We start from the raw sequence: 16,889 nt of genomic DNA, 5'->3' as shown, positions 1-16,889 counted from the left end.
TAAATTTTTTAAAGTGTATTCTGCCACATTTTCAACATTGCAAAAAAAATTATTGTCTTTAAGCCCTCATTCCAGAATATGTCTTTTAAACATCATGATTCTGTCAAATATATTACTTAGCACTTTCAGCTTTGTGGAATCCAAAAATGTGGCAAACAAGCCTCCAATCCTTCCCCCAAAGCCACTCACAAAAATAATTAAACTTTACTAGATTTTACTGTCCAGTCCATGTCCTCTTTTTCTACCAGTTACTACAAAATACTACTATGAAATGTTTTGCCCTTATGTTTCACTTTGAAAATGTGACTACTCAACTCAGTATCCTCTCCAAGTTCCCAAACATACCTTTAAGTTTTGTCTTTTCATTTCAAGTCCTTTCTAGACCAGTTTTACCTGATAATCACTTGTACTAACTTGGCTTTCCTCCCAGGCTACTCCAAGAGAGATTGTCTCATCCACTCATCCACTTCTCCCACCTTTCCATTGGTGCTCACCTCATGCCCAACCGATCCACCCGCCTTCCAGTTCTCTTTATTTTTCTTTTAACAATGAAACACACCAGGCACACAGAATCACCCACTTTAACATGTTAGGTACAATTGAAAATCCCTGCATGTCTCTTTTTAATCCAATTCTCCTCCCTCATGCCTCCCAAGGTAACCAATATCCTCCTTGTGGTATTTAGCTATGCATGGTTGCTTTTTGTTTTTGTTTTTGCTACACATCCATGGTTCCAAAGTGAATTACAGCATAGTATTTTGTATTTTTAAACTTTATATAAATGTTGTCATAGGGCTCAAATTACGTTTTTGAGATTTGTCTATATTGGTACAGGTAGTTTCAACTCATTTATTTTTGCTGAGGCAGAGTATTCCCTTATGTGAATGTGCTACAATGTATCCATTCTTTTTTTGGTTTATATTTATTATTTAAACAGTGCTACAGTAAACATTGTTGTAATTGGCAATTTTGGCCAATTATTTCTAAAGTTCTAAATACTTGTAATTGCCAAGTATTTCTAAAGTACACAATTAAAAGTGAAACAACAGGTTTTAGGGTTTTGTGTATTTGCAACTTTGTGATATACCAACAAATTGCTTTCCAACAGGGATGTGCCAGTTTACACACCCAACATCAGTGTATGAAAGTTCCAGTTGCTTTATATCCTCACCAGTGCTTGCTTTTATCAGATTTTAAAAGTTTTTTTTAATCTAAGTGAAGCAGCATGTAATTGTTTAAATATACACTCCTCTCATTATTACCAAGGTTGACCATTTTTTCATATGCTTATTTGCTGTATGCCATTTGTTTTCCTCTGAAGGAAGTGCCTACCACTTTACTTCCAGTGAAGTATCTGTTTATGTTTTTTTTTTCTTTTTTCTTTTGTAGTCTTAAAATCTTATTTTTATTAACTTGGACTATTTTGTATATTCTTGTATTAGTCCTTTGTCACCTATGCAGGTTGCATATCTCACTCTGATACACAGTTTATCTCTTACCTTGTAATAAGTCTTGATATCTGATAGGACAGTATTCCCACCCTTCTTTAACACTGCTTTGTTTTTTTCTGTTCTTTAATAATTTTATATTAAGCTTCTCCTGTTTTCTGAATAATTCTATCAGTATCTTAACTGGGTGTTATTATAACTATAGATTAATTTGAAGAAAATTAACATCATTATGTACTACTGTCTTTATATCTATAGACATTACATTTCTATCCCTTTATTTATATGTTTTTAAATGTTGCTCAAAGAGGTTTTATGATATTTTTCCTAAGAATGTTAATATTATACATCTTTTGTTAAATGTATAAGTGTTTTATATTTTTTTCTGAGAATATAATAATATTCTTTTTTAAAATTATATTTTCCAATTCTATTTTCAGTTGGTTATAACATAAATGATTCTTGTATGGTGATCTTATGTTCAGCAAACTCACTCAACTCTCTTACTAATCCTAATAATTTGTCTATATACATTTTCCAGTTTATTCAACAAATATTTATTAGTTGTCTACTATGTTTCAGACACTGTACTGGATGCTAGGATAGAAGGGTAATCAAAAAAGACAAAAAAAAAAAGCCCTCTGACATCATCCATTTAATTGGGTAAGACAGAAAATAAACAAATAAATAAGGAAGATATGTAGTGTATTAGAAGATTATAAGTAAGTGCTATGTAGAAAATTAACGCAGAGGGCAGTGACAGGATATCGGAGGCTTGAAATTTCAAATAGGGTGCACAAGGTAGTCCATACTGAGACAAAAGCTGACATTTAAGCAAAACTTGAAGGAGATGAGAGAGCAATACTTTTGGGTACCTGGAGGAAATCATTTCAGGCAGAGGAACTATTAAGTACAAAGGTCCTAAGGCTGTAGACTGGAGTTTCTGAGGTCAGTGTGGCTGTACTGGAGAAAATCATTTCAGGCAGAAGGACCATTAAGTACAAAAGTCCTGAGGTTGTAGGCTGGAGTTTCTGAGGTCGGTGTGGCTGTAGTGAAGGGAACAATGTGGAAAGGGAGATGAGGTTAGGAGAGAAGTGGAGGCTGGATTGTTGGAGTCTTGGGCAGCCACTGGAGAGTTCTGAGCAGAAGTAACATGGTCTAATTTTTCTATTCCTGTTTTGGGAACAGTCTGTGGAAAGGCAAGAGTGAAATCAGAAAGGCCAGTTGAGTGGCTACTGAAATAATTCAGATAAGAAGAAGCAGAGGTTCTGACCATCATGGAGCAGTGGTGGTGGTAAGTGTTCAGATGATCCTGGATGTATTTTGAAGATAGGACCAACAGGATTTGCTGAAGTATGTGCATGTGATGAAGAGGGGGAGGTGGGGGGAAGGGGGAGAGAGAAAGAGAGAGAGAGAGAGAGAGAGAGAGAGAGAGAGAACGAACTTAAGATTTTTGGCCTGAAAAACTAGGATGATAAAATTGTCAATAATTAAGATGAAGACGACCAAGGAAGGAAGGAATTTGGAAAGGGAGGGTGAGGGGAAGGGAGTGTAGGAAGAATCACGAGTTCCACTTTACATGTGTAAAGTCTGAGCTGTCAGAATTCTGAGTGGAGATGTGCAAGTATTGTATGTATGAGTCTGGAGCAGGAGAGAAGTCTGGGCTGGCCATTATAATTTTGGAACTTGTCAGACTTGAGACTGAGCGAGATCACCAAGGGAGTGAGTGCAGACAGAAAGTAAAAAGTCCAAAGACTGAGTCCAGTACTCAGAAGTTAAGGAGATGATGAAGGACTAGGAAAATAAACTGAGAAGAAATATCCAGTAAAAAAAAAAAAAAAGAAAGAAAGAAAGAAAGTCAGAAAATCATGGTTTCCTGAATGCCAGGTGAATAAGCTGTTGCAAGGAAAGAGTGATGTCAAATGCCACTGATTGGTCAAATGAGATTTGTCACTGATTGGTCAAGACTGAGAATTGACTGAGGTTCAGACACATGAAGGTCATTATGACTGGACAAGAGCAGTTGTCACTGGATGGGTCAGACTGAAAGCCAGATTGGAGTTAGTTTCAGATGGTGGGAAGAGAATTGAAGAAAATGAGCAGTGACAACCCTGGGCATTTTCCCATAAAGATCAGAGAAATGGGCTGGTATTTAGAAAGAATGAGATGGGGAGAGAGGAGAGAATCAAGAAAAAAATATGTTTTAAATGGAAGAAGCACATTCCTTGATTATTTTTTATGTGTAAGTCATCACTTTAAAATAATTATAGTTTTGTTTCTTCCTTTCCAATCCTTATTCTATTATTTGATTTCTTTGTCTCATATCCTGACTAGCTCTCCAGAACTAGATTGACTAGAATGAGTTATCCTTCTCTCTTTTTATTTAAAGAGAATTTTCTGACTTTTCAGTGTAAGCATAATGTTTGCTCCAGGCTTTTGGTTAATGCTCTTTATCAGATTAAGGAGGTTCCCATTTATTCCTGTTTTTCTAAGAATTGTTTAATTTTATCAACTGATTTTTCTATCCTCTTGAGATAATCCTATTTTCCCCTTTAATCTGTTAATGTGGTGAATTACAGTAATAGATTTTTCAAATATAGAACCATTATTGTATTCCTGGAGCAAAATAAAATTTGTTGTTTATTTTAATGCATTTTAAAATTTGATTTGCTATTTTTAAAGTAGTTTTAGAACTATGCTTATATATGAGATTGGTCTTTAATTGTCCTTTTTCCACTGTCTTTACCTAGCTTCGACATCAAGTTATATACAGTAGTTTCATAAAATGAGTTGAGAAATGTTACCACATTTTGTTATCTGCAAGAGTTTTGTAATATTGTGACCTAATCCTCAAAGATTTCATAGAACAGTATAAAACTCTCTGGCACTATAAATTTGTGTATTTTAATAGATTTTTAAACTACTGATTCAATCTTTTTGAGGAAAATTAGGAATTTTGCTTCAGTCACTTTTGGTAAAGTATATTTTCTAAGCAATTTTATATTTTATCTGAGTTTTCAAGTTTATTAGCATCAAATTGTTTGAATTATTATTTTTTGGCAGCTTCTGTATTCATTGATATCTTACCCATATTTTCAAAGCTTTGCCTTCTACTTTTTAAAGTTTTGATTTATTGATCATCTGTATAGGATCATTTCAAAATCTTATTAATTTCTTTTTAAGTCTTTACTACTTTACTTTTTGTACTTTCTGTAGCTTTATTCTGCTGTTCTTTTTTTTAGTCTCCTCAATTGTATAATTAGGTTATTGATTATTTTAACTTTCTTATTTTCCAATATAAGCATGTAAGACCATAAATTTCTTGCTAAGTAACATTTAGTATCATTCTACAAGTTTTGAGATATGTTTTTATTGTAAATTCTAAATATTTTCTTAGTTTTATTGTGACTTCCTCTGACTCACAAGTAATTTAGAAGTTAGTTTTAATTTCCCCAAGAATTTTTATAATCTTTTTGTTGTTAAGTTAAATCTTAACTGCATGTAGTCAGAGAATGTGAACTGCATGGTATCAGTTATTTCGAAGTAGTTGAGACTTGCTTTGTTACAGAGTTTATGGCTAATCTGTGTAAATTATAATAGCTAATACTTATGTAGCACTTATTGTGTGCCAGAAACTGTTCTAAGAGCTTTTCACATTAATATATTTATTTAAGTAAATTTTTGAGATAAGTATACTAATATTCCGATTTTATAGATGAGGAAACAGACATAGAAAGGCTAATAATGTAACTTTACCAAGGTTGTATAGCTAGTAACTGGTAGAACCAAAAATCAAGCCCAGAATGTGAGTTCAGAAGCTATTCTTAGCCACCAAACTATGCTGCCTCTTTTTTTTTTTTTTTGAGTCAGAGTCTTGCTCTGTCGAGTGCAGTGGTACAATCTTGGCTAACTGCAACCTCCGCCTCCTGGGTTCAAGCAATTCTCCTGCCTCAGCCTCCTGGGTAGCTGGGATTACAGGTGCCCACCACCACACCTGACTAATTTTTGTATTTTCAGTATAGACGGGGTTTCACCATGTTGGTCAGGCTTGTCTTGAACTCCTGACCTCGTGATCCACCCGCCTCGGTCTCTCAAAGTGCTAGGATTACAGGCATAAGCCACCGTGTCTGGCCTATGCTGCCTCTTTAAATGTTTAATATGTGCTTGAAAGGAATGTGTATTCTCTAATTATTGGATGTCTTAATATCTATATTATTGGATATTAAATATGTTGATTAAATAACTCTTGTTAATGATATTGTTCAAATTTTGTATATCCTCAATAAGTTTGCATTTGTTTGGACCATCAGTTACTAACAGATATGTTTTACATTTTCCATTATAATTTTGGGTTTGCCAATTTCTCCTTGTAATTTTGTCAAGCTTGTTAGGGGCTTTTTTATTATGTATGCACAAGTTAAAGATTGTTATTTGTTTCTTGGAGAACTTTTCTTTTCATTAGTATATACTGAGCATTTTTATTCCTAATAAGTTTTGCCTGTTTTCTTTGGAGTAGAAATATCTATTTTTTCTTTGTCTGTCTTTTTACTTTTACCTTTCTATGTCATGATGACTTTAATGTAATTTGTAAATGTTATATAAGTAGATTTTTTAAATAATCAAAATAGAAAATATCTGTCTTTTAATTGGTAAATTTAGTCAACTCATACTTATTATGATAAGCGATCTATTTGGATGTATTTCTTCATTTTATTTGTGTTGTATTTTCTGACTTTTCCATGTTTATTTTTATATTTTTTCTGAAAATTTTTAATTGATTGAGTTTTTATCATTTTATTTCCTGCCACTCTTGGGACTAGTGGGTTGAAGATTATATATTCTATTTCTATTATTTTAATATAGTTGCCTTTAACATTTTAGCAAACATACTGATGATATTTCATCAATTCTAAGATAGACATTTTCCCATATTAAAATCTCTGAAATAAATATGTGTTTTATAATTGATGACAATCTTCCAATTGCTGTTGGCCAGGCAGTAGTCATACATAGTTGTCATGGCCTACATGTGCAGGAACTTGTCATATTGTTCTTCATATTGTTACCATTCTAACTGAATTAGATACCTTGTTGTTCCTACCAATGTTGAGTTAAATATCCATTTAAAATGTTTTCAAAACTACTAGACTATAATGTGGCACTGAAACAGAAACTTATTGTGTATGCAGAAAGGCATGCAGAATAGCATCATGGTATATAAGTTTTATATTAGTTAACCAATCATTGGGGGAATGACAGCAATTCCACATTTTCTTGCAAAATAATAACTGGGCACTATATGGAACCTAAAAAAGAATATAGTTTTTGTTACTGAGATATTGGTAAAAGATCACCTACCTATTACACTATAATAAGTAATACAATTGAGGGCAGGAGAAATGGACAATTCTCTTAGCATAGATGAAAGAAATTTCAAGGAAATGAGAGTCTAGTATGCTCAATTAATATCCTGTATAGGACTCTCTTGGAGGCATGATGCCCCTCACAATTTAACTGGCAGTCTCTTCTCTTTCTTCATGACACACGAAATAATCATAGATCTTCTCATTGCTGCCATATTACATTTGATTAATTACAGTAACTATGTCTAAAGTTATTCAGGAACTCTGTCCTCCTCCTATTCCTAGAAGTACCTTGGAAGACTTTAATGCCCATCTTACATGTTATTAACCAGCACTTTTATTTACCTGTGTAATACCCTTGAAACTATTCTTTTTAAATGAGAGGCTTTAAAAAAATGTATAGTCAATGCTTGCTTAAAGTACCTAATATTTCCCTGTTTCTTTTTTCACCTTTCTTTTTTATTTGTTTTCCTGAATCCAAGTTCTTGTTTTCTGAAGTATACATTTTAAAAGTATCTTCAGCAAGTGCAGTGGCATGTCCCTGTAGTCCCAGTTACTCAGCATGGTGAGGCAAGAGGATCATTTGAGACAGGACTTTGAGGCTGCAGCATGCTATAATTGCACCTCTGAGGAGCCACTGTACTCCAGCCTGGGCAACATAGCAAGACCCCATCTTTGGGGAAAAGGAAGTTCCTTCAGTGAAGGTCTGTTAATGATAAACTCTCTAAATGCTTGTTTTTCTAAAAAAGTCCTTATTTTTGCCCTTAATTTTGAATAATTACCTGAATATGCATTTCTAGATTGGCAGCCATTTCATTTCTCAGTAGTTTCTATTATTGCTGTTATGAAATGTGCTGTCATTTTAATTGCTATTTCTTTATACCGAATCTACTTTTCTCTCTAGTTAATATTTTCCCTGTGCCTTTGGTGTTCTATGGTTTCACTATTACATGTCTAGATATAGTTTTATTTGTATATTCCTACTCAATCCTTATTGTGTTTTGTGAGTTTGAGGGTTTTATGTCTTTTTTCAATTTTGTAAAGTTCTTAAACTTTTTCTCAAATATTAACTTTCACATCTAATCTTTCCTTTTAGAAATGATATTTATTCACTCAGTTGTGCATCCAACAAATATGTATTGAGTACATACTCTCTTCTAGCAATATTCTAGGCATTGAGAACATAATAGTACAAAAAAAGAACAGACAAAATCATCGCCCTCCTATCCGTCGTATTCTGTCCTATTTTATCTTCAATATTTCTTGATCTATTATATTTTCCATCTCTATGTGAGATATTATATTCTCAGCTCTATCTTCCAATCCATTAAGTCTTTTTTTCAGCTCTATCCATCCACGGTTTCATCCATCTACTGAGGTTTTAATTTCTAGAGATTTCTTTTTTAAAAACAAAATTTCTGGTTTTTAAAAAAGTGACTTGGTCTTTTAAAATAAAAATAATTATTCTTTATACATTGATTTTGAATATATAATTTTGTAATTTGAGGTCAATAATTTCTTACCTGAAATTTTTAAATATCTAATCTGCTCTGTGTTTAATCTGCTTACATGTGCTCATATTGCCTTATTTTCTTGGGTGTTTTGTAATATTAAATTTTTAAGTTCAGCATAAGTAAGATTTTATTTGTGTAAGTACTGAGTGGTCTGTGTTGAGTGTTGTACCTTCAAAGTGGTTTGTATTTGCTTCTGCTAGGAATCCCAGCAATACTGTCAGTTCTGAGCTCACTTGTTGTTAGTGGTGGTGATGTCTTGGCTTTGGAGATTCTTGAAGTGATAGAATAAATGGCATAATGTATCATTATATACACATTGTGTGTGTGTGTGTGTGTGTGTGTGTGTGTATGCTTTTAAAAGTGGAAAGAAGGATGAAAATATAAAGGATTATTAGTATGGATGCCAATGTAGAATATGACTATAACAGTAATAACTATGTGGTCCTTGTTCAATACATTATTAAGTAGTTGTGGAATAAATGTATAAAAATATCAACCACACATGAAAATGTTTGTGAAGAAGTCCAAATATCTCTCCTCCCTGAAAACATAATTTATACCTAGAAAACACTGCAGATACCACCAAAAGGGTCCTAGAACTGATAAACGACTTCAGTAAAATTTTAGGATACAAAACTCAATGTACAACAAGCAGTATCATTTCTATACCTAGTAACATTCAAGATGAGAGCCAAAACAAGAACACAATCCCATTTACAATAGCTGCAAAAAACTAAAATACCTAGGAATGCATCTAACAAAGGAGCTGAAAAATCTCTACAAGGACAACTACAGCTACAAAACACTACTGAAAGAAATCACAGATGACACAAACAAATGGAAAAATATTCCATGCTCATGGATTGGAAGAATCAGTATCATGAAAATAGCCATACTGCCCAAAGCAATTTATAGATTCAACACAATTCCTATCAAACTATCAACATCAGCTGGGCGTGGGTGGCTCACACCTGTAATTCCAGCACTTTGGGGGGCCAAGGCAGGTGGATCACTTGAGGCCAGTTTGAGACCAGCCTGGCCAACATGGTGAAACCCTGTCTCTACTAAAAATACAAAAAATTAACTGGGCCTGGTGGTGCATGCCTGTGGTTCCAGCTATTTTGGGAGGCTTAGGCATAAGAATCACTTGAACCTGGGAGGCAGAGGTTACGGTGAGTTGGGATCCCATCACTGCACTCCAGCCTGGGCGACAGAGTGAGACTCTGTCTTAAAATGAACAAACAAAAAACCTACCAACATCATTTTTCACAATATTAGGAAAACCTATTCTAAAATTCATATATAACCAAAAAAGAGTCAAAATACCTGAAGCAATCCTAAGCAAAAATTACAAAGCTGGAGGCATCACATTACCAGACCTTAAACTATACTATAAGGCTACAATAACTAAGACAGCATGGTACTGGTATAAAAACAGACACATAGACCAATGGAACAGAATAGAGAACCTAGAAATAAAGCTGCACACCTACAACTATCTGATCTTTGACAAAGTCAAAACTAAGCAATGTTTTGACAAAGTCAAAAACTTAGCAATGTTTTGACAAAGTCAAAAACTTAGCAATGTTTTGACAAAGTCAAAAACTAAGCAATGAGGAAAGGATACCCTATTCAATAAATGACTAGCCATATGCAGAAGAATGAAACTGAATTCCTACCTACCACCATATACAAAGATTAACTCAAGGTGGATTAAAGATTTAAATGTAAGACCTCAAATTATAAGAATCCTCAAAGATAATCTAGGAAACACCATTTTGGACATTGGTCTTGGGAAAGAATTTATGACTAAGTCCTCAACCACAATTGCAACAAAAACAAAAATTGACAAGTGGGACCTAATTAAGCTAAAGAGCTTCTGTTTCTGTAGAAGTACCATGCTGTTTTAGTTACTATAGACTTGTAACATAGTTTGAAGTCAGGTAATGTGATGTCTCCAACTTTGTTCTTTTTGCTTAGGATTGTTTTTTTTTTTTTTTTTTTTTGTGTGTGTGTGTGTGTGTGTGTGTGTGTGTGTTTGGTTCCATATGAATTTTAGAATAGTTTTCTCTAATTCTGTGAAAAATGATGTTGGTAATTTGATAGGAATTGTGTTGAATGTATAGATTGCTTTGGGCAGTATGGCCATTTTAACAATTCTGATTCTTCCAATCCATGAGCTTCTTTCTGCACAGCAAAAGAAACTATCAACAAAGTAAACAGATAACCTAGAGAATGGGAGAAAATATTCGTGAACTATGCATCTGACAAAGTTCTGATATCCAGAGTCAATAAATAACTTAAACAATTCGACATGCAAAAAACAATTAGTCCCATTAAAAAGTGGGCAAAGGACATGAACAGACCCTTCTCAAAAGAAGACATAAGCAGCTGACAAACATGAAAAAATGCTCAACTTTAGCAGTCATCAGAGAAATGCAAATCAAAATCACAATGAGATACTATCCCATACCAGCTAGAATGGCTTTTGTTAAAAAGTCAAAAAACAGCAGATGTTGGTGAGGCTGTAGATGCAGAGAAAAGGGAAAGCTTATACCCAGTTGGTGGGAATGTAAATTAGTTCAGCCACTGTGGAAACCAGTGTGAAGATTTCTCAAAGAACAAGGAACTACCACTTGACCCAGCAATTCCATTACTGGGTATATACTCAAAGGAAAATAAATTATTCTACCAGAAAGACATATGCAGTTTTATGTTCATTGCAGCACTATTCACAATAGCAAAGACATGGAATCAACCTAGGTGGTCATTAACACTGGAATGGATAAAGAAAATATGGTACATATGCACCATGGCATACTGCACAGCCATAAAAACAAAGTCATGTCCTTTGCAGCAACATGGATGCAACTAGAGGCCATTTATCCTAAGTGAACTAAAGCAGAAACAGAAACTAAATATGATACTTTTTTCACTTATAAGTGGGGGCTAAGCATTTGTACAAATAGACGTAAGGATGGGAACAATAGACACTGGAGACTAGAGAAAGAGGGAGGGAAGAAGGTAAGGAATGAAAAACTTCCTATTGTGTACTATACTCACTAGCTGGGTGACAGCATAATTTATGCCCCCAAACCTCAGTGTCATAAAATATACTCTTGTAACAAACCTGCTGATGTACGCTCTGAATCTAAAATAAAAGTTGAAATTATAAAAAATTTTTAAAAAGAAAGTGAGAGATAAATACTTTCCCAGACAAATAAAAACAAGGAATTCATTGGCAACAGACCTACTCAACAAGAAATGAAAGAAATTCTTCAGAGATAAGGAATATAATATATTCAGACACTTTTATCCATCCAAAAAAATGAAGAACACTGGAAATGCAATAAAGATATCTATTAGAAAGAAAGAGAGAGAGAGAGACAGAAAGAAAGAAAGGAAAGAAAGAAAAAGGAAAGAAAGAAAGAAAAAAAGAATGAAAGAAAGAGAAAAGAAAGAAAAAGAAAGAAAGAGAGAAAGTGAAAAGAAAAAGAAAGAAAGAATTTGTAACTCACTGTAGGTTATAAACCCAAAGCTGGCTTTTAGGGTTATGGTATCCTTAAGGGAAATAAAAATAATAGCTAACATTTATCTGCACTTACTGTGCACCAGACACTGTTGTAAATCCTTTCCATGTATTAACTCATTGAATACTTGCAACAATCCTAGGAGCCAGATAGTAACAATATTCTAACTTTAAAAATTAGGAAACAGAGGCTTAGAGAGATGAGTGATTGCCTGTGAAGAGCTGGTAAAAGCAGAGCCGAGCCCTTAGCATGGGCATTCTGATGCAGTCCATGTTCTTAACCACTATGCTATGCAGCCTCTAAAGGAAGGGAGGGAGAAATGATTACATCCTTTGCCTTAGGACTCTCCATTCTTTTCTTTCAAGTTTCCACTCCCATGCCAAATTCATTCTTCCCACCACCAACTGCTTTATCTGAGGTATTCCCTCCCTTTTGCCAGTGGGCCATTCCCTGAAGACTGCTTTCAGAGTAGGTAAGAGTGACATAAAAGGTTAATGAATGCTGAAGCGGAGGTGTGTTGAGTGAGAGTGAACCATCCTGATAAACAAGCCTGGAGCAGCACAATTTGTGGCTTTTTCGTTGTCCTACTTCTCCCATTTGACACCCCACCACTTTAGGATAAATTACTTTAAAATTGACAATGGCTAGGTCACTGTGAGAATGACTCTCTAAGTCTGGCTTGATGGGTTTGACATTAAATAGATTTGGTCCTTAGAAGTTGCTCATTTTAATATGCACAGGTACTGACCCAATGTCGAGCCCAAACATAAACACATACACATATGTATTTCAAAAGAACATGATATTTTCTGGAATGCAAGTCAGAAAAACCCTAATTGCAAAGCTGATCCCTTGCCAAAATGCTTTAAATGATTCAATTATACCACTAAAACAGGTTAAAATTTTTTTTTGTCTTTTTGAATATTTGTTAAAGGAAGCAGTTAACTGTTTATTCAGGTTTTCCCCCTTTTTGGAGGAAATCTCATTTTGGAGAATTTTTTCTTCATGCCATGTACAGAATTTGAAGATATAAAATTTTTGAAGTTGAAAAATCTCTTTGTAGTAAAGTGCTGTGTAATAAGAAATTCATAGCTTTAAGGGGCTCACAGTAATATCAAAGTTCATAACTGATGTATCTATACCTGATATATTACTATATTCGCTGCAGTTATGAACAATGTGAAGTAATTTATCTTTATGGACAGCTGCTTAACTTTTCTAGTTAGAAATCATAGGATATTTGCCTTATGTTCAACAATGTCACTGACACGATCCTGTACACAATGGCTTCATTCGAAAGGCCCCTTTCAAAATTCTCTGATAATTCATTACTTTCTTAGCATGGAGACTGAGTTCTAGTGTTCATGACCAAGACACAGATGACTGTCATGTATTTTTCATTGAGTTGCACCTTCCACTTTTATTGAGGCTTGTTTCATTCAGACAAACATCTCATTGCCATTTATTAATAAACTATTATTTGGACATTGTTTGCTATGCTTCTCAGTGTCATCTATATAAACTGTTCCCAGGAAAACAGACTCTGAAATGGTGATTACCATGCAGAACATTTATAGGGGAGTGCTCTGAGAAACAATACCTGTTAGGGGGTAGATGAAGCAGGATTGGGCAGAGGAAAAATTTGCACTGTAATGCAGCTGTGAAAAAAAGGCCTCAACTAATCTCTCACAGGGACCTCTGGAACTGGGATGACCCTTCAGAGTCATCCTACGACAAGGGACCAGGCCTTCATATCTCCATGATGACTAGTCATTGGATGCAGGTTGTCCAATGGGAGGAGCAAAATGTTGAATGAGGCCATTCCCTTTGACCACAGAAAATTTCTATAGGCAGACTTGGCTACAAACCAACAGCTGAGAGAATGAGTACCTAGGTCCTGGAGAGGGGATTTGGGCAATGTATCATCATGTCCACTATAGTCTACCCCAGAACTGTTCTAAATGGTATGCTTTGTATAATAAATTTATTCTATATGGAAACAGCTTCTCTGATAAGCTGATTGATCTCTTGTTCTAAGGAAATTTATAATAAGAAAGTTAGAAGGGGATCTAACATGTCTGTGATTAACTGGTTTCCTTGAGGGATGGTGCCATTCTTCGGGCCCAGCATTAGCTTCTGTTGCTGTCAGGTTTCACATCAGGGCAGCGTTGAATGATGCATAACTTCTATCCCTCACCATAGCTATTCCATTTACGTGCCTATTGGATCACACTAGAGTGACTGATGACAGAGGCTTGATGTCATTTAGATAAGTCATTCTCTCTACTTTGTGTTTTATTGCCTCTTTTGTGATGAATGCTCTCATGGGCATTAACATGGGATAAAAAAGATGTTTATACTTTGTGCCCAAGTCAAGTGTCCACCACTCCAGTTCTTATCAAGGCTGCAATTGGTATGCATCATCTCTGTGGTAGGCTGAATAATGGCCCACAAAAAATGTCCTCATCCTAAACCCCAGAACCTGTGAATGTAATCTTACATGGGCAAGGACCTTTTCAGATATAATATAATTAATAATCTTGAGATTGGGAGATCATCTTGGATTATGTGGGTGGGCCCAATATAATCAAGGGTCCTTATAAGTGGGGAAACAAGGTCAAAGGTGGAAGAAAGAGAGGGAATGATAAAAGCAGAGGTTGAAGTGATGTGCTTTAAAGATGGAGGAAGGGACCATGAGCCAAGGAATGCAGGTGGCCTCTAGAAGCTAGAACAGATTAAAAAAAAAAAAAATGCCCTCAGAGCCTCCAGAGGGCACCAGCCCTGCTGACACCTTGACTTTAGTCCAGTGAGACTGATTTTTGACTTCTGACCTGCAGAACTTTAATTTCTCAACACAAATTCTTGAGCCAGTAGGTATGTGATAATTATTTGCAACTATAACAAGAAGACAAATGCAGTATCCCTCCTTTACAACCTCTTCTGGATTTCCTTCATCTTCAGCTAGCACCTCTATTAATCTAAGTTGCTTCCTAGTTGAGTTACTCAGATGCACTTTCTTGAGGGATCTAAGTCCCTGGACTCCATTCCTTTCTCAGGTTGTGACTGCTCCATTGTCCATTTACCATCAAAATTGGGCAAGGGAGTACCAAGAGATATCTCCATTGTGTAACAGCAGCCTACTGTCTTCTAATGGGCATGGCTAATTACTCCTGCCAGGTTGGCAACTCCTTTCTTAATCTGCTGGTCCCCTTGACACAAAGAACCTGAGGTGACTGGGCTGTTGGGCTCATGTATTCTACCTGCAGGGAATACAGTACCATGCAGTGGTCACTGTTTTAGTATGTGTACTGCCCCTTGGAGAATGGTGTTTCATCTTAACAGGATATAAGGTTGAGTGGCTTCTTTGCAAGCCTGCTCCATTGATTCATCAGTCTAGCAGTATTGGGGTGGGGGCAGAAGAAGTTATGGTATGTGATAGAACCAGTGAGTCCCATGATTATGTGCCTACTGCTGTACATCCTTTGCTATAAAATGGTTCTTTGGTTTGATGCAGTGTTATGTAGAATCCTATGTCAGCAGACCAAATGCTCTGTGATCCCTCAAATAGTGAATCAGGCTTAAGCCCTGTGGGCAGAAAAAAAGCAAACCCAATCCTGGATTACGTGTAAATTCCACTCAATATGATTGATGTCCCTTCCAGGGTGGAAAAGGTCTAATGTAAATAACTTGCCACCAAGTGATTGATTTGTTTCCTTGAGGGATGGTGCCATTCTGAGGACTTAGCAGGGGCCTCTGTTGCTGGTAGATTTACATCAAGGCAGTGGTGGGTGATGCCTAGCCTCTATCCCTCACCATGGCTACTCCATTTATGTGCTGACTGGATCACACTGGAGTGACTGATGACAGAGGCTTGGTTGATGTCATTTGGCTGAGTCATTCCCTCTGCTTTGTATTTTAGTGCCTCTTGTGTAGTGAATATTCCCATGAACATAAAAGATGTTTATACTTTATGTCCAATCCCATGTGTGGATCCATGCTTCTTACCCAGAGCTCCTTATTTCCAGTTTCTCAATCGTTCTTTTTTCAGGCCCTTGGCCATTCAGCCAAGCCATTTCTCTTGCCACACAAAATTAACGATCAGGTGCATGGCTGAAGCTCTGACCGTTGGGAGAATGTTCTCTCATTTTTGTCTTTCAGGGTCACCCTGAGTAGGTCTATACATAAGAGAAGTCAAATTTTGAATTTCACCCACATACCCAGCCAACCCATCAGTAAACCAAGTTGAGACATTTTCCTCCTCTGTCAGCTGGCCATGAGGGAACCCCTCATGTGGCCATAAGTGTCACCTGAGTGTAAGATGTTATTTCTATAGTGGTTGATGACACAGGGGTCCGGGTCACCTGTTCACACAGCTTATTTGTGCACTCTGGCTTTTTTCATGTCTGGTCCAAAATGTACCACTTCTTAGTAAAATTCTTGAACTTCAAAACTTAAGAAAAAACTCAAGCGTAATATGAGCTAATATGACATGTTTAAGGCCAAATGTATCTATCATATCACTTTATATAAATGGGTAAAATGCACCTATTTTTTTAAAAAGACTTTTAGATTAGATCACCGGGCAAAATCTAGCAAAGAAGAGACATATATTTAATGACTTAGGAAATGATTTAGAAAATGTAAAAATAGGCTGGACATGGTGGCTCACACTTATAATCCCAGCACTTTGGGAAGCCAAGGTGGGGAGGATCACTTGAGCCTAGGAGTTCAAGACTAGCCAGGGAAAAATAACGAGACTCCATCTCTACAAAAAAAAAAAAAAAAATTAAAAAAATTAGCTGGGAATGGTGGCATGCACCTGTAATCCCAGCTACTCAGGAGGCTGGGATAGGAGGAACCCTTGAGCCCAGGAGGTTGAGGCTGCATTGAGCCATGGCACCACTGCACTGCAACCTGGGTGGCAGAGAGAACCTGTCTGAAAAAAAAACAAAAATTAAAAATTAGAAAATCTAAAATAAAAAGATGCAAAATTAAACAATGATTTACTTGACTATAAAACACATGTGAATAATT

At 35.7% G+C, this 16,889-nt stretch overlaps 1 protein-coding gene across 24 annotated transcripts in view; it reads left to right on the top strand.

The window, feature by feature from the left end:
• VEPH1 (ventricular zone expressed PH domain containing 1) overlaps positions 1 to 16,889 on the top strand; it is a 243,864-nt gene that overhangs the window by 11,809 nt on the left and 215,166 nt on the right. For 2 of the 24 annotated variants that reach the window (XM_047448923.1, XM_047448924.1), the window contains exon 2: positions 2,637 to 2,742. The exons of 19 other annotated variants lie outside the window; for them this stretch is intronic. Coding sequence is in view for 1 of the 5 variants with exons in the window: in XM_011513134.3 (XP_011511436.1) it covers positions 3,520 to 3,690 (171 nt within the window). In the remaining 4 variants the exon portion in view is untranslated. Of the gene's footprint in view, positions 1 to 2,636; positions 2,743 to 3,450; positions 3,691 to 4,347; positions 4,423 to 7,343; positions 7,516 to 16,889 lie in introns of those variants that run through there. 3 more of the 24 variants (XM_011513134.3, XM_047448925.1, XM_047448926.1) reach the window with 3 other exon arrangements.

The sequence above is a fragment of the Homo sapiens genome, chromosome 3, assembly GCF_000001405.40.
Source record: "Homo sapiens chromosome 3, GRCh38.p14 Primary Assembly".
Classification (NCBI taxonomy): domain Eukaryota; kingdom Metazoa; phylum Chordata; class Mammalia; order Primates; family Hominidae; genus Homo; species Homo sapiens.
This window is presented reverse-complemented; position numbering and strand designations above follow the sequence as displayed.